Consider the following 24,880-nt stretch of genomic DNA (forward strand, 5'->3'; position numbering starts at 1 on the left):
TCCTATACTTTCTTTTGGAAGGTTTTTAGATATCTCTATTATATTTGAATCTGTGATCCAGTCCAAAGTAAAATTTGAGTGCATACAGTATACAGTATAAAGGTTCACTTTTTCCATAATAGATATCCAGTTGTTCCAACACTACCCTGAAAAGATGATCCCTTCCCTTGGCTTCTTTGCTGAAAATCACTTGACTACAGATACATGAATCTACTATTGGACCCTCTATTCTATTCCATAGGCCTAAATATCTATCCTTATGCCAACACCACACTAAATATCAATATACTTTACAGGAAGACTTTACAGTAAGATACCAATACCACACCTGAAAGTAAGATTTTATAGTAAGTCTTAAAAACAGGTAATGTAAGTTCTCTAATTTTTTCTCCTTTTCTCCACATTGTTTTGGCTATTCAGATTATTTGTATTTCCAAATAAATTTTACAAAATGCTTGAAAACTCTACAAAAAAAAGCTTGGATTTTTACCAAGCTAAATAATCCATGTATCAATTTTGGAAGAATTGACATCTTATCAATATTGCATATCTTTCAGTCCATGAACATAGTATGTCTCTCCAGTTATTTAAGTCATCCTTAGTTCCTCTCAACAACATTTAATAGTTTTCATTGTCAGGTCTTGCACACACCTTGTTTATCCCTACTTATAATTCATCCCTGAGTATTCCATGTTTTTTGGTGTTATTGGAAACAGATTATTAGGTTGGGTTTTTTGGGGTTTTGTTTTAGTTTTCCAATTGATTTTTATACAGTGGTCTTATATCCTGCTTCCTTGTTAAGTTTAATTATTAATTCATAAGTGCTTTTTGGGGGCAGATTTCTTGGGATTTTTGATATCAGCAAACGTAGTTTTAGTTCTTCTTTCCAATCTTAAATCACTTATTTCATTTTCATGCCTTTAAGGCATGAAAGCACTGCTGACCTCTCATGAAATGTTGTATAGCAGTGATGAGTTTTGTCTTTTTCTGACCATAGGGGAAAGCATTCAGTCTACCACCATTAAGAAAAATGTTATCCATAATTTTCTCACAGGTACCCTTGATAAGGCTGAGGAAGTTTTCTTCTATTGTAATGTATTTAACATTTTTATCATTAATGGGTGTTGAATATTGTCACATACATTTTCTGCAATCGTTGAGATGGTCACATGAGTTTTTTTCCTTCATCCTATCGATATGATGAATTATACTGATTGATTTTAGATGTTAAACCAGTCTTACCTTGCTGGGATAAACCCTACTTGGCCATGATGTATTATTGTCCTTTTTATCTACTGCTGCATTCAATTTGCAAATTTAATGTATTTTTGCATTTGGTTTTATCAGGGATATCATGTGCTACAATTTTTTTGTGTAATGTATTTGTTGGTTTTATTACCCATGTCAATACTGGCCTCATAAAATGGTTCAGGAAATATTCCCTCATCTTCTATTTTCTGAAAGGACTTTCATACAAATGTCATTATTCATTCCAAAGTGTTGGGTAAAATTGATCAGTAAGCCATCTGGACCTGGAGTTCTAGCTTAATTCTAGCGTGGTCAGAAAACTTAGTACAATTTCAATCATTTTAAATTTACTGAGCTTTGCTTAATTACATGTCACCCTTGACATACATGTTATTTTATTATTATTATACTTTAAGTTCTGGGGTACATGTACAGAACGTGCAGGTTTGTAACACAGGTATACATGTGCCATGGTGGTTTGTGGCACCCACAAACCAAAGTAATGTCAAACCAAAGTAATGTCAACTACATTAGGTATTTCTCCTAATGCTATCCCTCCCCCTGCCCCCGACCCCCCACACAGGCCCCGGTGTGTGATGTTCCCTGCCTTGTGTCCATGTGTTCTCATTGTTCAACTGCCACTTATGAGTGAGAAGATGTGGTGTTTGGTTTTCTGTTCTTGTGATAGTTTGCTGAGAATGATGGTTTCCAGCTTCATCCATGTCCCTGCAAAGGACATGAACTCGTCATTTTTTATAGCTGCATAGTATTCCCTGGTGTATATGTGCTACATTGTCTTCATCCAGTCTATCACTGATGGACATTTGGGTTGGTTCCGAGTCTTTGCTATTGTGAACAGTGCCGCAATAAACATACGTGTGCATGTGTCTTTATAGTAGAATGATTTATAATCCTCTGGTTATATACCCAGTAACGGGATGGCTGGGTCAAATGGTATTTCTAGTTCTAGATCCTTGAGGAATTGCCACTGTCTTCCACAATGGCTGAGCTAATTTACACTTCCACCAACAGTGTAAAAGCGTTCCTATTTTTCCACATCCTCTCCAGCATCCGTTGTTTCCTGACTTTTTAATAATCACCATTCTAACTGGTGTGAGATTTTATTGGTTAGAAGCAAGTAACAGGTCCCACATATACTCAAGGGTACAAGGTAGCAGGAAAATTGGGGGCCATCTTAGATTCTGTGCATCCATAAGTACTTTCAAGTATTCTATTTTAGCTCCACCATTGGTTGATAAGCTATACCTCTGTTTAAACAACCACACCAAGATATAATGCAATTCCTAAAAATCAATAATAAAATCTTAACAGCAGTCATAGGGGACAAAAAAAGATACATTCTACCCCCCTCCTCCTTCAGGGATTCCAATTACATGTATATTAGACTGCTAAATATTTCCCATAGGTCATTGAGGCTGTATTTTTGGTTGGCTTTTGTTTTGTTTTGTTGTGGGAGGTTTGTTTTGTTCTTTTTTCTCTCTGTGCTTTGTTTAGACTAGCTTCTATTGTGTGTATTCAAGCTCACTGATCTTTAACTTCTGGAGTGTCTAATCTACCCCTAATCCTATCCAGCAAAATTTTCATTTGAGATACTATATTCTTTTTAACTCCTAAAGTCAAATTTAGTTATTTTTTCTTGCTTGTTCTTTTTTTTATGGGAATATCTTTTTTAAAGTATATGATTCTAGTGATTTTTTTTGTATAGTCACTAAGTTATACCCATCCCTATTATCTAATCCAGAACATTTTGTCACCTTCCCATTCTCTCCTCCCCACAACCCCTGGAAACCACTTATCTTTGTCTCTATAGATTTGCCTATTCTGGACATTTCATAAAAATGGAATCTTTTACTTAGAATAATGTTTCCAAGATTCATCCAAGTTGTTGTAGCATGCAACAACATTGCATTCCTTTTTATGGCTGAATATTTCATTGTACGGATATACTACATTTTACTGCTTCATCACTTGATGGACATTTCAGTTGTTTCCACTTTTTGGCTCTTCTGAGTAATGCTGCTATGAACATTTGTGTACAAGTTGCTGTGTGAACATATGTTCTCAATTCTTTTGGGTGTACATCTAAAAGTGAAATTTCTATATCACATGTTAACTGTATGTTTAACTTTTTGAGGAACTGCCAAACTGTTTTACCAAACGGCAGTGCCATTTTATAGTCCCACCAGTAATGTACAAGAGTTCCAATTTATCCACATCCTCACTAACACTTATCCAAATTAAGAAATACATTTTACACTGCAATAATAAATATATATGTGTTTAATTAAAACAAAAAGTTTACGAAAATACCTACTCTTGCTACATACAATGCACTCTGATATTTTGCATACTATTCTTTCTTTTTTTAATGTTATTCTACAATACAGATTTCACATCCAACATAAAGTTTCAAAAACAATGGTTTAGGGAATACTGAGTTTGAGCTGAGGTTCTTGTATAACATCCAGAAATACACAGTCAGAAGTCAGAAAGATATTCTGATCTTGAGTTCAGGAGATCTAGAATGAACATACAGAACTGAAAGTCTTCAGCACATGGGTGATCTATGAGGTAGGGATGTGATCAAAGAGATACATGGGAAAAGGGCTGAGGTTGGGGGTATCTATAATACTTGTGAAGTCCTTCTTTACATACAGTTCCAAGGATGTTAATTATTTTTCAATTCATTCAAATATCAAAGCAGTATTCCACTTTTAGTTTTGCATCAAATGTTGGAGTGCTACATTTTGTTTTCCATGATTCAAATTCATGCAGAAATGCTTAGATTCTAAAAACTAGTTTAATCTGAGCTCTTTGTTCCTTAACTTCTTCCCCATTGCTGGATGATTACCTAATCTTTTTTATTTCATCACTAAGAGGTTACTGACAAAGGTATAGAAAAAAATGATTACAAGATAACTTAGCTTTTAAATACACAAGAAGACCTACAAATAAATTCAAAAGACATCTTCATCAAATACTTTTAAACCCTTCAAGATCATAAACTATTATGATTTTTTAAAAGCTTCTCTTTTTTTTAAGGTTCTGGTTTAAGAAGTTCTGAAGGACATTAGCATTCTATCTTTTTTTTTTCTCCCAAAGAGATTCAATGTTGTAACTGTTTTATTATTTGGGTTCATTTCATTTTGCTAAACATAAGCTAGAATAACTTTTTCACCTTCATCATTTCTACAATCTCAACATCATCATCAAAATGCTGATGCTTCCTTCTTTTGAGAAAATGACAAGGGCCTCTGTTGCCCCAAAGGTAACTTGTTTCTTGCATTTCCAAATGATATAATAGTGCTTTCTCTAACTACAAATTGTTAAGATCTCTCACAAGTAGTTTCACATAAAAATCTTCCTATCATTTGAGAGAAGAAATGGCTGGATATCAACATATGATTATTCCATCTTAACTAATACATTATGCCAATTTTTTATCTTTTTCAAAATAAAAAAAAGATAGGAGGAAAGTATTACCCAATACTTTAACTTTCATGTTTTTATATCTGTAAGTATGACAGGTTATCACTGCCACTTAATGAGAAAACTGGGTCCAGAAAGGCAGTGATTTGTCAAAGTAGGTACAATCAGGTCAACAAACCAAAGAACTTAGTGATATTTTCATTGGTGAAATAAGAATAAATAATAAAAAGAGCATAAACAATCCAACCAAATAAACTGTGCAATCAATCTGAGACTTTTGCCATCAGGGAAACAATCATTTAGCTGGCTTGAAGTGGAATAAGTGAATAAATAATTTAACACTCAAGGAAACCCAACTGTTCCTATGATACACATAAATGCAATCAAGTACAGAATTATTCAGAATTGTTAAGTGCTTTCGGTGATACCTACCTTCGTCACCTTCTTTCCCAATATCTAATAGTTACATCAGATTTCTATTTTCAAATCACTAGAAACACAAATTTTTCATCTTTGCAAAGTAGTCCTGATCATTCCACTAACATGTACAACGTCAAGAGCAAGCTATTCTTTTTGGGAGCTCTGAAAAGAAATGAAACATGAAGGTTTTTGAGACGGCCTGGAGTTCCCTGAAAGGCCAATGGGACCATTGTTTGTTCAGCCAGAGAAGAAACTCAGAAGAGTTAATTGTAGTTTTTGACCAACAAAAGGAATTAAAAAAAAAGTCACAGTTTCATTTTCACTAAGAACAGGTATAAAAAATAAAAGGTTTATACTTAGCCAGGATTCAGACTACACATCAATTAGTAAAAATTCTTGCCTAAAGAAAGACACAGCAAGAGGAACTATTTCTCCAGAGATTTTCAAAGAAAAGGAAACAGGCACCATTGGAAATTGTTTAAAATTAGATACAGATTCATCCATGCACGTGATGATGCCCTTTCCTGCATAGAGTCTCAAACTGCTATAGCATTTTTATGACTTTTTTTTGCTTTTATGCTTAGAAAGTCCTTTAGACACCTAAACACCAGGCAAATATCAACTGTATTTTATATACAGATATAAATATGTACTTATTTGCATTATTAACATTTCATTTTCTAATCCAGTTGGAATTTATCCTGCTGAAATGGTGGGAGAAAGGTCTTAAACTTCTTTCCCAAAAGTTCTATGGATTATCCTAGTGATCACTGATATAAGTAGCTTGTGTAGGATTCCTCAGGACCCGACTGAGGGGGTGCCATGGCAGCTCTGGGATGACTTGGGGCCGGCCCTGTCCTGGGGTAAAAACAGCTCCGGTACCTGGCCCTGACTGCTGAGGAGGCAGCTTCTGTACAGCTTCTCCGGGGAGCTTTTCTTACATTGTCCACCATGTTGCTGCAATGACATGATTCCGTGAATTTTTTATGGTGAAGAGCATTCCACTGTGTATACACACTGCATTTTCTTTATCTCTTCATCTGTTCCTGGACAGGTAGGTTGATTCCACATCTTGAGTGCTGTGAATAATGTGTCAAGAAATGTAGGATTTCACGTATCTCTTCAATATACTGATTTCATTTTCTTAAAATGTATATTCAGTGGTGGGATTACTACAGCAAATGATAGTTGTATTTTATTTTTTGAGCAAACTCCAACTATTTTTCATAGTGTGTATACTGACTTAAATTCCACCCTACACTGTGTAGTAGTGTAATAGTACCCCTTCATCCAACTCCACACTGATCATTTCATTGTAAAAAATTTGTTTCTTTTTTGTAACATTAATTCCAATTAGAGTGGAGAAGATATCTCAGTGAGTTTTAATGTACATTTTCTTGATGATTAGGTATGTTGAGAACCTTTTCTTTTACCTGGTAGTCAAATTCATGTCTTCTATTCAGAAACATCTATTCAGGTTCTTTGCCCAATTTCCATCTGGTTATTTGTTGTTTTGTGTTGTTGTTTTTCCTACTTAGTAGTGGTAATTTCTTATACATGTTAGATAACAACCCTTTCAGATATATAATCCCCCATAATTTTGTCCCAATCTACTGGATGCCTTCTGTATTGGTTCATTCTTTTCTTTCCTATGCAGAAGCTCATCAGTTTTCTATAGTCCCACACTTGTTTTTGCTTTTGTTAGCAATGATTTTTGTGAAAACAGAAAAATTATTTCCAACTCACTTTATTGGCAGAATCATTTTCCTCTATGTTTTTCTCATATTTTTCTTTTTGCAACCTGTGAACATAAATTTGAGTTTCCCTAAACATACATTCACCCTATGTTTTCTTTTAAAAGTTTCATCATTTCTGATATTAAGTTTAGGTCATTAATTTATTTTGAGTTGATTTTTGTGTATTGTGCAACATAACAGTCCTCTTTATACTTCTTTATATGAATATCCAGTTTTCTCAAAATGGTTTATTAGACAGACTCGCCATTCCCCATTTTGTCTTTCAGATGTTCTTTCAAAAAATGTGTTGACTATCCATTTGTGTTTATTATTTGGTTGCCTCAATTTGTCCACTGCCGAGTCAGCTCCTTGCCCAGAGTAGGAGCTATCAGGAGATGTGCGCTCGGCACGGCTGCAAGGACCAACGGAGCAGCCCAAGCCAGTGACGGCCTTGGACGGGGAAAGGGAGGACATGGAGACCAAGAGCAGGCAACCTGGCCCCACCAAGCAGTGAGGGCTTTGCTTCCTCTTGGGATGCCTTGCACATCTGCAACAGGCACTGTGCAGGCCCTGAAAAGCATGGCTGTTCTGGAAAGAAAGGCATTTCTAACCAAAAACCAAAACAAAACAAAACAAAGAAGCAGAAAAGCCTTTAGAAGTTTCCAAAACTCTGGTTGCCATGAAAGAAATTCTGCAAGCACAAATAAAAACCAGCCACAGACTGAAACTGCACTCAACCCACTCAGGAACTCTGCAACTGTGGGCTCTTTAGCACTTAGGAGCTGATCCACAGCTTGCTGACTTTGAGAATCAAAAAGACATGTTCAAATTTTCAACAATATTCTCAGAAGACAAATGAGCGCAAGAACTCCTACTGCTGAAGACATCTGTACCTAGCAGAATATTGTGCTCCTGTTATTGAAAGGGTGTGAACCTCCAGAAATACCTCTACATTGTGGATAATGTTAGAAGAATGCATCAGACATGAACCACCTACAAAGAACATTTTGTGGTGGGAACAGTTTTATGATTTCTTCAGAATTTTGCCTTGAGAATATGAGAATGTGTCTTCAGTGGTCCAGAAGATCCGCTGCCCACGCCAAGCAGTGGGTGAAAAAAATCCACATCTGGTCACATAACAGAATACACCCTGGGGAACAATTCATTGAAGCTCAGGCTGAAGACCTGGTGGAGGAGCCTCCAGATGACAGGTCAGAGGAGGAGACCTTATTTGAGGTCAAGGTAGACTCAAAAGCAAGTGAAAACCTTCCCATTGAGGAAATATTGGAACAGCTTCCTCATTACTGGGCATTGGAAAAGGTCCCATGAAAGACAATGGCAGCCTCAAGAATCAATGAATATGATTAGCCCCTGGACATCATCTATGAGGGCAGCTGTAACGACGAAGACTCATCAGCTGCTCCTGAGGATCTTCTCAGCAGAAATGAGGAAGATTTCTTCTCAGGGAAATGACATGTTCCCACACGTTGTCAACTTCATGTGACCCAGAGTGGATTCTGGAGAGCATAAGTGATGGGGAGGACTCTCCAGCTCCCTGCAAGGACCATGTGGAAACCAGATCTGAAAAGGAAGAAGGCACTGGCAATATATCATCAACTGCCAGGGAAAGCAAGTGGATTCTGGAAAGGATAAGTGATGAGGAGGACTCTCCAGGTTATTTCTCATCCTGATAAGTCTCATTTGCATCATATGGGTCCTATTAGCACAGATATCTCCAAATGGGCCACTCTTCTATTACATAGAATAAATTGCTCAGTACAGGGCCTCCAATTATAGCTATTTTCCTCCTTGCCATCTACTATAAAATAGTCAATCAACACAGGGTTCTAGGGTCTCACTGAAATTGTGGTCAGCCTTATTCATAGGATCACAGAGTTCATCCACAGAACAGAAAACTGGTTGGTGGCTAGTGGCTGTCCTAAGTTAATAAGTGGGGCACACTATCTGAACTTTGCCATTTTTCTAACCATTCTGGCTATCCTGGGAATCTCCCCATACACTAAACCCATTCCTGGTGTACGTAATGTCAAAACTGTTCAACATGAATGATGTCCTGTGCTGATGAGGATGAAGAGACACCCTCACTCTCCAAAGCTGTTGGAAATAACCTATATAAAGGACCAGTGGAACAATTTGTCTATTTTGTTGCTGTTTCATTAATTCACTATGAGACTGCATGCCTGGGCACTGTGCCCTCTGCCTGAACCTGGGGCACCAGGGGCACTAAAAGGCCATCTGTCGGGGCAGCCCAGGCCACTCAGAGCACACAGGGCCACGGCGATGGCAATGCTTGGCTGGAGCACTCCATGCCCGTGTCCTGGAAGCCACTCCTCACCCCAAATCGGCTGCCAGGCATCATCCCAGGTGCTAGGATCATTGATGCCACCACCACAGGCACGCTGGGGAAAGGCGGCTGCTGCAAACTGAGCAGCAAGCCAGGCCACCTGCCTTGATTGGAGCCTGGTCCCACTCAGCCCCAAATCCTGCAACCTCCACCCATCTGGCCAGAGCGCCCCCTCTGCGAAGTCAGGCCCAGCGGCCACACGGAACTTTGCCCAGAATATCCAGCTCCTGCCTAAGAGCCATGGGTGCATCTGCCCCCACAAGACCAAAGCTGGACAGCAGTGGCTACTCCGACCTGGCCTCTGCCTTCTGCAGTGCCCAGCACAGGCCTTGCTTCAAGGGCCCATGGCCTCCGAAGTGCTCAGCACCCAGGGCCTTGGACATGTGACCACCAGGGACCACTGGCAAACTAGCAGGGGTCCCTCTAGGCTGGGTCCCTGGTACCACTTTATATAAGCCAGCCTGGGGAATGGAGACCTCCACAGCTGTGGGGATAATGCAGCATCCAGGTCTGGGATTTTAGGTGGCTGTGGTGGTGTTGGGGACAGGAGACTGAGGCAAGTTGCCAGTGGACTTCTGGAAGTGAAGAGAAGTCAGGGGAAATGTCTGTCCCTGTCCTTGTCCTGACGCCAGCAGAATAAGCCACAGGCTGGGAGATTCCTTTTAAAACCTGCATTATGCCCTCACCTAAGTACTACCACAATCATTTCCTTGAGTGCCTGCTGTGTGCCAGCTGCTGTGCCAAGCTCTTTGTGTGTATCTGAACTTCACAAAGGCCTTAAGGCAATAGTTAATAGCATTATGCCATTTCACTTCTGAAGAATCTGAGGCTAGGGGATAACTTGCCCACAGTGAGTGCAGAAGCCAGGACTGGAATCCATGTCTGCTTCTCTCTAGAGCCTGGACTCCTTACCCCTGAAGTTACTCTCCTGCCTTCTCTATGGTAGGTACTGTTCAGTTAGTGTTCACACTTTAACAAGAGGAGCTGGCCCTGCTGCCTTCCTTGCCTCTTCTCTCCTTCCTTACTCTGGTGACTTCCTCTGGCCAAGGAGAGGATCTGCAAGACTCTCTCTCTACTCCATGTAAAATGACTGGATTCTTGTGGAGAAACTGTGAAGTAGACTTGGGAAGCACACAAGAAAGCTATGCTGGAGGCTTGGGAAAAAAGAGTAGCTGTAGGCAAGTACTCCAATAGAAGCTCTGCCTTCACCGTGAGAACATGCCAGGGTTGGCCTGCTGGAGGGAGACATGTGGAGCAGAACTGAGTCACCCCAGCCAACCTCCAGACCTGGGAGGCCCCTACCAATAGCCTGCAGTCCTGGGAGTGAGCCCAGCTGAGACCTGAAGAGCTGCCCAGGCTAAATCACCAGCCTGTAGATTTGTGAGCTGAAAAGAGAAATGATAAAGAAAGTGTTCTTGGAATTCATTTCTGGCAGAGACTTGTGAGCTTTGCTTTCATTTGTTAGTGAAATGCTTGACATTTTTCCTTCACTTTACAAACATTATGTGTAAATTACTCAGAATCCTAATTGAAAGTAATTTCACATTAATGCAGGCTATAAAATACCATTTTATTTGAAACTATGCCTCAGAAATAGATAGTACAGGGCACCCCTTTACATTCGCAAATTATACCCACAAATCCAGGAAGCACAATGTTGGGTGTGTGAGACAGAGACTTAAAGCTACTACCAAGGAAAATGCAGAAGAGGCAACCATGGACAGGTATAGGCAAATGGCAGAGAGTGGCATGCAGTAGAGTCTGCAGCAGTGAAAAATCCAATTATGGGACGCTAAACTTTAAAAGCCAACTTTTGCACATCTGCAATCTCTGGGTGACCAGTACCCTTCTAAGAATTTAATCTGCCTAGACACCAAGCAAGGGCCAAGAAGGAGGAAACAGAAGCACTGGCATGCATGGTCTGAATGAGGAAGCCAAAGAACCCACTGTCTTATCAGTGTTTTTTCCTTCCAAGTCAGACACATACAGCAGACTTCCTTTGCAACCACTTGCTGACCATACATTATCTGCAATCGTGAATCTTGGAAATAAATCATTCCAAATGCTCTTAAAAAATAAAAACAAATAGGCCGGGCACAGTGGCTCATGCCTGTAATCCCAGCATTTTGGGAGGCCGAGGCGGGCGGATCACGAGATTAGGAGATCGAGACCATCCTGGCTAACACGGTGAAACCCCGCCTCTACTAAAAATACAAAAAATTAGCTGGGCATGGTGGTGGGTGCCTGTAGTCCCAGCTACTCGAGAGGCTGAGGCAGGAGAATGGTGTGAACCCAGGAGAGGGAGCTTGCAGTGAGCCGAGATCATGCCACTGCACTCCAGCCTGGGCAACACAGTGAGACTCTGTCTCAAAAAAATAAATAAATAAATAAATAAATAAATATAAAAATAAATAAATAAATAGCTTGTGTATTTAGTTACAGCCAGGTAATACCTAGGCATTTCCCTAAATTTCCACCTTTAATGAGTACCTAACTCCACTTTATTCTGACAATCTTGGTAGGCAGCAACAGTCATTATGTTTTGAGGTAATTCAACATCCTTACCTTGGCCCATCTGCATCTTTAAAAGCTCCAGCCAATACAAAATTAGCTGGGCATGGTGGTGCATGCCTGTAATCCCAGCTACTCAGGAGGCTGAGGCAAAAGAATCACTTGAACCCAGAAGATGGAGGTTGCGGTGAGCTGAGATTGCGCCATTGCACTCCAGCCTGGGCAACAAGAGCGAAACTCCATCTCAAGAGAAAAAAAAAAAAAAAAACTCCGGCCATAAGCCCTGGGCTCTGAGAGCAGATAGCACCATTGGCAAGAACTTTGGACTAACATGGGCAAAAGCCCTCTGTCTGGTCAAGCACACAAACTAGGCACTCTCTGCAAAAAAACAAAACAAAAAAAAATTGTTTTCCCTTAAGAATTACCATGGGATAGGGACCCTGACATAACTTGAAGAACATAAGGGCAGAGAGGTAATAAGGCAAAGATTTCACTGCTCCAGAGGGTCTCCTTGAAGTCACTAGACAAAAGAACCAATGAATGGAAACCCTAACCTTAAGGATGTTTCTAGGTTAAAAATCACAGGCGAAGATCTCAACCTATTGAGTTAAATGATCCAGTGCATAATCAATCTAGTGAATGTCTATGGCATTTTCTATATTTAACATTTAGGAGAAAGGGAACAGCAAAGAGCTATTATCTCAGTATTCCAGCCTCCTAACAAATAAACCAGGAGTTGCAAGCTCAACTGCCTACGGGAGCAGACAAATGAAATAAATAAGTGAAGAGAGTCAAGTGAACTTGGCTTCAGAGTCTGAGAAGCATGAGGAGTATTAGAGATTTGGCAAATTGGAGTTCACGCTCCTTGAACACTTGCTGCTTCTAGTGGGAGCACTCACTATGCAGCTGCAGCAGTTTGTATCACCAAAAATTCAAGCCCAGGGCTGCCAGATCTTCTAAATTTTTTTTAAAAAAACAGAAATATGAATTCTGATGTGAATCTCCCATTTCTTAAGGATTGGCAATTTAATTAAATTCTCTTTTTAAAAACACAGGTCAAATCAGACGTTTTCATGGTGAATTTATGTGGGCCATATTTGGCCTACAGATGAACAGTGTGGGTTCTCAGATTATACAGCCTACAAGTCACTCAATTTTCCAAAACAGTCTACCCTGCTCCTGTAGCCTTTTCTGCTTCCTATCTGCCTCCCTCCTTTCCTCAATATGCCAAATTATTGCATGCTACACATCTCAACAGACTCTAGGTTGGGTATGGAGTGTGAGTAAAGAATGCTACTCTATCTCAATCACCACATTCAAGAGTCAGCTGAGCTCTGATCTCACTACAAGGAATTGCTATTTTGGAAATGAAGATCAACTACAATGGAGTCATACTTGCAGGTCAGACAGCTGGGCCAAATTAAATAATTTTTTTAATATAAGTAACAAATAAGTCTTTCATCTCCAAAACTGCCAAGTCTTTTTTAAAGAATCTTTAGATGTCCTATCTCATGTATCAGTGATGACTAACTGCTCTCATACAGCTTTGCCACCAAGCCCAACCGTGCCACAAGCAAAGGAAGAAACCTCAAAAGAAGTTTATTAACTAAGCTGAACATCACTTCCATTGAAAACACTGTAGAATTTTTAGCTTCTCCGCAAAGTAGACTTATTATTTACTTTAAAATACTTTAATGATATCCTATTCCAATCAAAGTAAGTAAAAGGTTTAAAGGATGGGTCAGCCCCACTGGGATCCAACCTACATATGTAGATATTTACCTTTTCCCACAGAATCTAACAGGATTGCTATGTTAGATACTTTGTTAAACAGATAAACTGTGGTCTTCCGTATCTAGAAGGCCTTCTTCTTTCTTCTTCCACTATGAAAGGATCTAAGAAAATAGTTTTCGATGTAAGATATCTCAAATATATTCACTTGAACAGGACTGGATGAGGCAAGGTTAATGTATTACCATCCATATGCATTAGTGCATTCCTGCTGATACCTAAAGGCAATAAATTCCCCCAATCTGCCCATCCTTTTCCACCCTGAAGCCACTAAAGATGATATATTAGAGGGCAGCTGACTCCGATACTAATTTAGAAGCAGCTTTCATGCCTAGCTGAGATCAAAATGAATAATTGTGATAAAATAGAGCAGTGACATCGTAAATATAACTGATACAAATTGGAATTTGTTTTTGAAAAAGTTTCCAAAACAGATACTTTTACTATAGAACATTATAAAAATAGAAAATGAGAATGAAATCTAAGAAGTTATTTTTAATACAATCTTTAAAACTCTTATTTTGCCAGTGGCATAAAGGCAGTAAGTGGCTGGTATGGTTTGGATCTGCATCCCCGCCCAAATCTCATGTTGAAAGGTAATCTCCAGTGTTCGAGGTGGGGCATGGTGGGAGGTGATTGGATCATGGGGGCAGTTTCTAATGGCTTAGCACCATCCCCCTTGGTGACACTGTTGCAACTGTGAGTTCTCCCAAGATCTAGTTATTTTAAAGTGTGTAGCACCTCCCCTAATCCTTTTGGTCCTGCTCCCGCCATGTAAGATGCCTGCTCCCGTTTTGCCTTCTGCCATGAGTAAAAGCTCCCTTAGGACTCCCCAGAGGCAGACACTGCCATGCTTCTTGAACAGTCTGCAGAACCATGAGCCAATTAAACCTCTTTTCTTTATACATTACCAAGTCTCAGGTATTTCTCTATAGCAATGCAATTCCTAATACAGTTGCTGTAATAGGAATCTACCCAATTAGTCCATAAGCATACTAAGCAACAGCAAATATTCATCATTAGCCATGATGCTCACAAGTCCATGGGCCCCCAATTCTCCTCAGTTGGAGCCAAAATACCAAGAAGGTCCAGTAGTCTCAAAACCCAGTAATAGGCCTACTCTTTTAATTTGTTCCAATGTTGTTCTGTGGGAAAACACTGACTCTTATTTACATGATTGATAATTGTTGTATTTTGTTATTATCAGGAAATCTATAAAAGCATAAAATCCAAAGTATTTCTCATGAGATCAAGTAACTTATTTACATATTGCTGATACTTTGTTACAATACAATGGCAGCATCCATAGTTTCCAAAATGAAAGAACGACATAGAGAAGGAGGAGGAGGAAGAGTAAGCAAGTGAAAAGAAGGGAAAGGGAAAGATGGCTAAACCCAACAACAATCAAAAACAAAAGTGTGCTAATTCCTACAACTTTACCTAACAGAATATGATACCCACACAATAATTTCATCCTTAAAGCTCTTTTGACAAGAAAACAATAATACTTAATGAACAATTACAAGAACAAGAAAATCTGATTTCCAAGAAGAAAGGAATATCGGAACGAACTATAACAATATTGTTGATTTTTTTCCTTTCTACCATGTTCCTTTCAGTGTAAATTCTAAAGTATAAATCTATATGAGGAATAGCTACATGTTTTAATTAATGATAAAGTCACTATATTTATTTCATGTCTCAAATTACAAAATACTACAAAAAACCTGTTTCTTCTATAAAAAGAAATTAGATTTCTAAATGAAAATATACCTCCCACACTTGACTATTCATGAAGTCATAGCCAGAATAACAGATTTAACCAGGAATAGTAAATGTCAAACTTACATTCTCCTCTGCCAATAAAGTTATAGTCTTTTGAATAAAAGTGACATACAACATATTATATTCTTTCTTAAGAAACAAAAACTACTGGTCCTTGCTTTGAGTTTCTTAATAGAGCTTAACCACTTTCTTTTACTTCTTCACAGAGCAACAGAGCAAGACTCTAGCTATGCCAAATACTCTATCAGTTTTTATTTTTAAAATGGCATGAGTTTTGGCTAATGGAAGTCTCAAAATAGTGAAAAATGAAACGATTCAATATCAGTGATGTAGATATATGTTCATTATATTCCAACTTACCCAGTACACTGACAAAAGCATCAAAAAGATGAAATGTAAGTAGAGGCTCTTTCAAGTGACCATAGTAATCAGCTATGGTTTTAAAGACATCTTTTTCAAATCCCAAGTACATAGGCTGCTTCAAATCAGAACAGTTGGGCCCTATTTTCAAAAAGAGAGTGAAAGAGAAACATTAATGGAGTAATTACCTCTAAGTATTATTCTCTGTGAATATGTGTGGCGTGTACAGATATTCAGATATTTGACATATACAGAAAAGTTTTTATGGGGAAAATTGACATTAATTAAATAGGCATTCTACACTGATATTAATTAAATAGGCATTTTACATTTTGCCTACACAAATATGCTTTATGTCTAAATTGAAATCTATTATAAAACAATGAAGAAAATCACTGGCTTACTTCCATTTTAAAAGAAACCTTTCTTTAAGAAAAAAACATTCTTCTGAAAGGCATTTTTATTAAATGTAAACAATAATTTTCTTTGAAATACTCAACATTATCCTAGTCTTAATAAAGTTGACCGAGATAACAATTAGCTCACATATGTAACAGACAAGTTATAAAGCAATTTTTAAAGACTTTCATTATTTCATTCTTGTTATATTATAAAATCCTACAGTCATAGAGTTGAGCAAAATAATTTCTGCCTCTATTTCAGACTAATAAATATTTAAACTTAAAAAAATCCTTAAAAGGGGATTTTATATTTTGTCTTAATTCACTCTGATTATAAACTCTTTATTTGATCACTGACCAACCATCAAAAGACAGTTTATCAAGCAAAGTCATACTGCAAAGTTGAAGCAACCACTGAAACCCTGAAACAGCCTGCTCCCAACCATATCCTACTCCATCAACAAGCAAGGAAAACATCCACTTGTGTCTGGCCCAAAGAGGAACAAGAAATGTTCTCTACAGAGTTGGCAACAACTGCTCCACCAATCCATCCACAGACCACAGATTTACACTGCCAAGTTGAGAGATGAACTGGAGCTGCCTGTACCTTGAGGAAAATAGCAAGTCGTCCCATGAGGAACAGTGTAGCCAGCCTTCTCTATTTCCATTACAGCATGGAAGAAAGGACCACATCCTCATTGCCTAGCTCTGGCTCAGCAGAAGACTAAACAACTGTACCCAAATAGACCTCTACCCCCAGAGGATCAAAAGCAGCAGCCAAGATAAATTGAAAGGAAATTCTTCCTACAGAATCTCTATAACTAAAGAAAGGGGATCAAGCTAAAAAGGACATTAAAGCATTCTGGGTCTTTACATTTCAAGGTCACTGTGACATGATCAAATGGCCTTTTCGGCCTCCTTAAAGACTCTCTTACCTTTCAATATTCTGTTCTCTTCTTATAAAATAATTTGATTGGCTAAAATAATGAAAATTGTGAAATATCTATGTGTGTGGTACAGCATGAATCCAGCAGCAAAGGTAGCTGCCATTTTGCTTGCCTCCTGCTCTGACATATCCCAAGCTTAATCAATTAAAATAATTAGGTTGATATGTCTCAGCAAGCAATACACATTGCCTAGAATTACTCCCTGTCAGGATAAGTATACGGTTCATTCTAAGCAGTTGTACCCCTTTGTGAACATCTCATCATCCTTCTTAAAAATATGCAAAAAAATTTTAAAGGTTTCCCTAAAAAAAATCAGTGCATGGTGAGCCCTATGAGAGGAAGCCATATTTTTATGACCTTTTCTTTCTCAGTCATCTTGAACTTTAATAATATTTAAAAATTTTTTTTATAAATGTTATTCCTGACAGATTCTGGAAAAGAAATGCTTTGACTTTTTTGTGTCTATTTTTTATTGAATCCTGGACATGCGCAAAGAAGAAAAACACAGTTAACTTGGTTTTGCATTTATGTAGCCAGCATTGAGGCTGGCCAACAATGAATGTATACAGGCCCATGTGCACACGGGTGTGACAATAAACACAGATGGGCTGAAGAGAAAGAGGTGAGCAGCACCTCCTTCAGAAAAGGAGGCAATAGGCCTTCAAAATACCATACAATCAGCCTATCCTTTCTGTTCCCTTTTAGATGACTGAAACATGAATTGGGACTTATTAAGGATAGGATGGACAAGAAACAGGTTGTGACTTTGGTGGACTCAAAGTAGATTCTGAGGGTCAACAGGAATTTCAGAAAACATTGTGACTTTATAAAGCTACTCAAAAGGTTAATCTTGCCCTTTGGCCACCTTTATTTGTTTGACACATAAATAAACATCTTTACAGATATGCCAGCCACTCATAAAGCATAGTACTTGATACATATGAGACAAGTTCCCTTTTCCCAGCACTTGCCACCTAGTATCATGCCACCTCACACACATGAAGATCATTAGTAATTCACCCCTCACATCTTTGCTCTCCACTGATAAGAAATTCCAGTTATTCTAAGCTTTCTGCAGAAATTTTTTGGCTTTCGGTGCACATGCTGCTTGAGGGAAAATTATGTTCTTTACTACATTTCAGTAATCATTGAAAATTCAACATCATAAACATCTTACTATATATTTTACAACATATTACAGACTAGATTGGTTATACTAGCTTCCTATGTTCATTCCTAGCTGATCAACTTCTTTTTTTTTTTTTTTTTGAGACGGAGTCTTGCTCTGTCACCCAGGCTGGAGTGCAGTGGCACAATCTCGGGTTCATGCCATTCTCCTGCCTCAGCCTCCCAAGTAGCTGGGACTACAGGCGCCCGCCACCAAGCCCAGCTAATTTTTTTTGTATTTTTAGTAGAGACGGAGTTTCACCATGTTAGCCAGGATGGTCTCCATCTCCTGACCTTGTGATCCACCCACCTCGACCTCCCAAAGTGCCGGGATTACAGGCGTGAGCCACCGCACCTGGCCTGATGAACTTCTAAAACCTTGATTTGCCAGTTCAGAAATGGGAAGTTTAACTTCTCATTTATACTCTCTATCTCATCATTGTCAACCCTAGACAAGGATGTAATTTAAATTTCATTGACTTCAAATGCCTGAGCAGGAAGAAAAAAAAGCACTTCCCCAAGCTAAGACCATAGTACTCTGCATCTCAGAGGCTCCAAATTTTAACCAAAAACCAATGAAAATGTTAACAGTTAAACTCAGAGAACCTTGGGCTTCACACAAACCAATGGTTACTATTCATATACAGAAGGATAGTATAGAATGAATGAATAGCATTCATCTTCAAAAGGCTATTCAAAATCATAGGATCATGTTCCATATACTACTACTAAGATTCCCCACATTAAGCTTAAGAGTTATTTTAGTTTCATTCTATAATCAAACAAAACTAATTTCAGTTAAACCCATGTTTTAGGGTTTACTAATTCACGAATTTAAAGGGAATTTTCACCTATATCTGTAGTGCTAGTTCCGTACAAAAGAAATGAAAATGAACTACTACCTTGTGGTATCTGTGAGACTCAAAAGGCACTCCAGACCAAATATCACTATTATCAGTCAGCCAAAATAACTAGAACTCTTTCCATCAAAATTATTTGTTTGGGTTAAGCCATTAATCATTAGAATCCCTTCTTTGGGTTAACCCTTGTGAAAATTCCCAGAAGAATGGTAGTGTTTCTGAGATACTATAACAACTAATGCCTTCACAGTGCCTATGATATTCAATGATATGGAAATCACATGCCTATGAAATGGATTTCATATACCTATAAAAATCCTCACAGGGACCACCCTGGTCCAGGCCCTCTCATCTAACATCCAAATTACTGAAACAGTCTTTCTCATTTCTCTACATGGCAGGTTCTTCTCCTTCCAAACCATCCTTCATCCTGTGATGAAGCAATTAGAACTAGTGTGGATGGATCTACTAGAAAGTAGAAGTACTAAATCCCTTTAAAACTGTTCTAGAATTCAGTCCTTTCACTAAGTCACAAATTTATCACTAAAAGCACAGTAGTCCCAAAATAATTAACTGCCAGTCTCACAGGTGTCACATCAATGTTCAGGCCATTGAGCAGAAATTTTTCCTAATTTAGGGCACTAATTTCTGTTAATTTCACAAAACTGGCAGATAATTAGTACTTACAATTTGCCAAACACTTCATAGCTGACAGCACCCAATGAGGAAGTTCTTCTGAAGGAAAAAGAAAATTTGTACTCAATTCCATATAACTCAAGACATCATATACATACTTGGTATCATAAGAATGTATTACTTGCCCAAGTAATATGAACCATATCTGCTAATCACAAATCACCAATTTATGTTATTAGAACATTTAAAAGATGGAAACCTTTCCTTGTCAGCAGTGTTATAACATGCACTTACATAAATAATGCCTACAGATTTCTCTAAGGACACAATGCACCTTTTTAAAGCTATAGTAAAAAGAAAAAAATGTATAGTTTGCTCCAAACAAACAAACAAACCAAAAGACAAACCAATTATTTTAAGAATTACAAAAAGAAAAAGAAAAGAAAAAATATTAGTCGTCAAACACATTTGTGAAACAAGTTCATCAAACACCACCAGCCCCTCAAAAAGGGTAATTCTGTAGGTCCAATATAAGTATCATTTTACATGTTTCCATTTTCAAAATGCTTTAGGCCAAGAAAGTTCCACTGACATATTAATGTTAGGCTATTAGTATTAGGACAACCTTTAAATAATAGTAACTGAACATTGCTACAAAAAAAATCCCAGCTGAACCATTTGGTACAGAATCTCTTCCCTCCACGCCCTGCCACAGACATCTGATGAGATGGGCTAGCACTCAGGCTGCCACTTCATCTTCTCTATTTCTGTAAAACTGCGAAGACACTTGTTGAATTGTGTTAGATCTAATGAACTGGAGTCTTGTAAAATGCTCTCTTCTTTCTTAAGATCTTACTTAATAAAATGAAAGATGATTGATCATCTAACTGATAACTAAAAATATTAATTTGCTACACTCAGAGAATGTGGAAGAATTTTAGATGTATTTCAAAGGCTGCACTCTTCCCTTCATTCTATGGAACTTAATTTTATATGTTGATATTAACCTCAAAACTCATAAAGTCACCACAAACTTATTTGTCTCTCATTGTCCTCCATTCCTCATATAGTGACTATAAAAGGAGAAGTGTTTCAGGTCTGAAGACAGGTTCTGCTCCTGTCAGGAAACATGGCATAGAAAAATCTCTTCCCCTCTCACCACTGCTCAGGCTATTCTGCTACATTCTGTCTGCTTCCCAGGAGCCTCCAGCCCTAAATTTAATCATATTTTTAAAAAGTCAAGAAGTATTATGCCATCTTCCCACATCCAAAGATCATCAAGTTCCAGCCAATTCCCAGCATCGAGGGTTTGAACTAAAGGAAGAACAAATCAATGAGCCCATCCAAATCTGGTCCTTATCCACAGAAAGATTTAAAATCAGTGTGGGGACTGTGGTCCACTATCAGTACCCTAACCACATTTTTACAAACCAAAAACCATGTTAGGTGGCTGTTATATGGTTCTTTTGTTTGTTTGTTTGTTTGTTTTTTCTGATTTGTAAACTGGTCTAGGGTGGGAAATATAAAAAATCAAAGCAATATCAACATTTCAAAAACTACCTTATTAAAAAGAACCAAGACTATTCCAGAAAATCTAACACAGAGAAGCCAAAACAAAAACGTGAGAATTCTAAATGCAGTCAGACCCCAGGGCCCACCTGAAAACTGACTCTAACTCTTGGTTATGTCTTGAATATTCTCACTTTTCAGAGATTTCCCTGGGAATACGAAACCACTTAATGCCCAAGGTGGCTAACACTGAACTAGCTTCTGGATGGATTTTGCTGAGGCTCTCATTCCTAGATACTCATCTTCCTATGACATTCCCTTATTCCAAACAATTTGTTAAAAGGTATTAGAAAGAATATACGTAATGAAGGAACAAACTTATTCAGGGTTTAGGGAAGGGTCAGAAAGGAGCTGATGGACCTGTGCAGCCAATATATTATGTCAATAAGTAACAAAATTATATTTATGCACTTACTTGACTTGTCATCAAGAATAACAACTCCCTGCTTGCTAACACTATATACATTATGGATGATGAACTTCGAATTGACAAGTTTGACGTCTAAAACTTCTTCTAAGGAATCCAGGCCAAGAATTTTCTGTAAGCTAAAAGATAAGTAATTATATTAATTAGTTCTGTCTTTAATATTATATTTACTCAAAAACCTGGTACTACAAAAAATCAATCTTTATAATGCTTTATTTTCATGCATTGCACCCAATCTTTGCGGGGCAAAAAGGGTAGAAATGGAGTACAATAAAACAAATGTAAAAGATATCCTTTTGCTATTAACATTTTGCTTCACAGATTTAGTAACACACCAAATGACAAGAAAGTAATTTTGTAAGTAAAAATACTACAACATAAAAACTAACTTATCCAATGATAAGAAACTACTATTAGCATATCTTCATGAGGAACAAAATTTTGCTGTATATGATTGTTAACTTTATACATACAGTACATCAGTATCTAGGAGACCAAATTTTCTATTATGTGTCTTATTACTCTTAAGAACTTTTAAACTCCTAACTATTATGTAAATAGCAGGAGATAATCCCCAGAATTCAGTTAAACTATGTTTGCTGATCACAACTGCAAATAATGCAAAGTTGAGATTTTTATACATAATTTCAGAAAATTAAATATGCAGAGAGTGAAGAAGTAGCAAAATAGGAAACAATATCTCTAAAATTTCTCATTAATATCAAATGTACATACTATGATAATGTCATAGACTTCCATATCTCTTCTACATTGGCCTCTGTCAGCTGTCTGCGGTGGACAAGACGGCAAGCTGGCACCTCTCCAATTGCAATACTGTGACGCTTGTACCACATCTCAGAATTCTAATGGAGGGGGGATGTAAGAAGGGAGGGAAGGAGAAACGGTAGAAAGACAGTGAATAAATATTTCAATATAAGGTGGTGGGATTTTTATGAGAAATGTCTTTGATTTGGTTACTTGTAACTTGATTTAAAATAATAATTAGAAATATAAACTAACTTTCTTTACATGGACCTCAGAGAAGTAAAGAGTGATTCTTAAGACTAGGTCATGTTATAAATGAATATTCATGAATTACAAAAGAGCTATGGCAGTAAGTATGGCATTAACTAGCTAATTTTTCCTGTGGACGTTTCAACTAATCAGTGAAATAGCAGTGAAATAAAATGTTATCAATTCAAAATTAAGGAATACATATCTAAATTCATACACTGTACAGACTGATTATTGAAAATGGAATTAAAATGTATTACTTTTGAGGACTGTCTATTTTTTATAAGCAAATATCAAGTAAGTGCAATGTTCGAAAGTAGCCCCCAAATCTTAGCCATCTGCAAAAGGCTCCACAAGGACAGCTGAAGATGGCAAAAGGAACAGAAATTTTTTTGTTGTTTGCTTTTTAGCATTACACCTCAGTCCTGGTGGTCTTCTACTGGGGGTATTTTAAGGAAAAAATGTGAAAAAAAGAGGCAGTCAATTCTACAATGAGCTTCGGTTTTCTAAGACTAGAAGAATCTACCTTTGCTTATATATTTGGTCAGGGGCTAGTACACAATATTCCACATCCTAACCTTCTTACCCTCAACTGGCAATAATAACAGTTTAGGAGGAAGAGACAAAGAGGAAGAAGAGTAGTAAGTTATAGAATGTACAGGAAAAGGGGATTACAAGAGAGTTTTAACAGAAACCTGCTCAGTCTGAACATATAAAAACAGCTGCCATATACAATTGACTCTTTGTATTTATGGGTTCTGCATCTATGGATTCAACCAACCACAGATTGAAAATATTCAGAGGAAAAAAATGGATGGTTGCATCTGTACTGAACATGTAGCATTTTCTTCTTCTTGTTATTCCCTGAACGAGGTGTCCTCAACCCACAGGCCACAGACTGGTATCAGTCCATAGCCTATAAGGAACCAGGCTGCACAGGAGGAGGTAAGCGTTGGGCAAGTGAGTGAAGCTTCATCTGTATTTACAGCAGCTCCCTGTTGTTCACATACTGCCTGAGTTCTACCTCCTGTCAGATCGGCCGCATTAGATTCTCATAGGAGCGTGAACCCTTTTGTGAACTGTGCATCTGGGGGATCTAAGTTGTGTGCTCCTTATGAGAATCTAATGCCTGATGATCTGTCATTGTCTCCCATCATCCCCAGATGGGACCATCTAGTTACAGGAAAACAAGCTCAGGGCTCCCACTGATTCTATATTATGGTGAGTAGCATAATTATCTCATTATATATTAAAATGTAATAATAATATAAATAAAATGCACAATAAATGTAATGCACTTGAATCATCCCGAAACCACCCCCACCCCCACCCCAGCAGCCCTGGTCCATGGAGAAATTGTCTTCCATGAAACCCATCGCTGGTGCCAAAAAGGTTGGGGACTGCTGCCCTAAACAATACAGTACAACAACTATTTACATGCAAGAGTGAAAAACTGCAAGAGTCATTCTTTCCTTGTTACTGGTCTCCCAGCTGTTGGCAGGTACAATTTTGTTTTAAAGTACCTTTAAATTATTGTTCATAAAGGACCACAGAAAGACCAAGCCTAGGAGTTCATGGATGATTCTCCCTGCTGCCAGCCCTTCCATCTTTCAGTCATGGCACTTACCATCACAACTGGCCTCACTGGGATGTTCTCTTGTGAAGTGCCTGGTGGGAGATCATTCCATTCTGGAAATTTAATAACATCCTTTTGGTTTGGGGGCTTCTTTGGATATGGTTTCAGGGGTGAAGAAGGAGGAAATCTAAAACCCAAGAAGAAATTCTCTATTACTGCAGTCAGTGGGAGACACAGATATTTTAACAATAGTCTCCACTTTGGTGTATCTGAAAATTTATACAATAATTTGTACAATATTTATACAATAATTACATAAATTTTAATTTTTTAAACTGCTCTATACCATACCTGATAAAGAAAAGAAAGGTGATTGAATACATATTTTTTATCAGATAATATTTTTCTGCAGTCTTGTTAGAAAAGGATACAATGCATTACATTGCACTGCAAAAGCAATGTAAGAACTCTAGTTCTTAATGTTGACATAAAAGGCAGCGGGTTGTTGACTTTTATTTTGACTTTTTATTTACTTAAGCCAAAAAAACAGCTTAAAAATCTTACCCATGTTATCCACAGAAAAAAATCATACAAATAACTAAAGACCTTATCTCAAA

At 37.9% G+C, this 24,880-nt stretch overlaps 1 protein-coding gene and 1 pseudogene across 8 annotated transcripts in view; one reads left to right on the top strand and one right to left on the bottom strand.

Annotated features, from left to right (window-relative positions):
• DEPDC1B (DEP domain containing 1B) overlaps window positions 1-24,880 on the bottom strand; it is a 103,255-nt gene that overhangs the window by 26,172 nt on the left and 52,203 nt on the right. For 4 of the 8 annotated variants that reach the window (NM_001145208.2, NM_018369.3, XM_011543509.3 and 1 more), the window contains exons 3-7: window positions 24,315-24,450; window positions 22,409-22,536; window positions 21,662-21,792; window positions 19,729-19,776; window positions 15,667-15,807 (exon numbers count right to left, since the gene is read on the bottom strand). In NM_001145208.2, coding sequence (NP_001138680.1) covers window positions 15,667-15,807; window positions 19,729-19,776; window positions 21,662-21,792; window positions 22,409-22,536; window positions 24,315-24,450 — 584 coding nt within the window. Of the gene's footprint in view, window positions 1-5,130; window positions 6,198-6,849; window positions 8,436-15,666; window positions 15,808-19,728; window positions 19,777-21,661; window positions 21,793-22,408; window positions 22,537-24,314; window positions 24,451-24,880 lie in introns of those variants that run through there. The other 4 variants (XM_011543510.4, XM_047417370.1, XR_007058609.1 and 1 more) reach the window with 3 other exon arrangements.
• CAB39P1 (calcium binding protein 39 pseudogene 1) lies at window positions 7,431-7,890 on the top strand (annotated as a pseudogene).

Source organism: Homo sapiens, chromosome 5 (genome assembly GCF_000001405.40).
Source record: "Homo sapiens chromosome 5, GRCh38.p14 Primary Assembly".
NCBI lineage: Eukaryota > Metazoa > Chordata > Mammalia > Primates > Hominidae > Homo > Homo sapiens.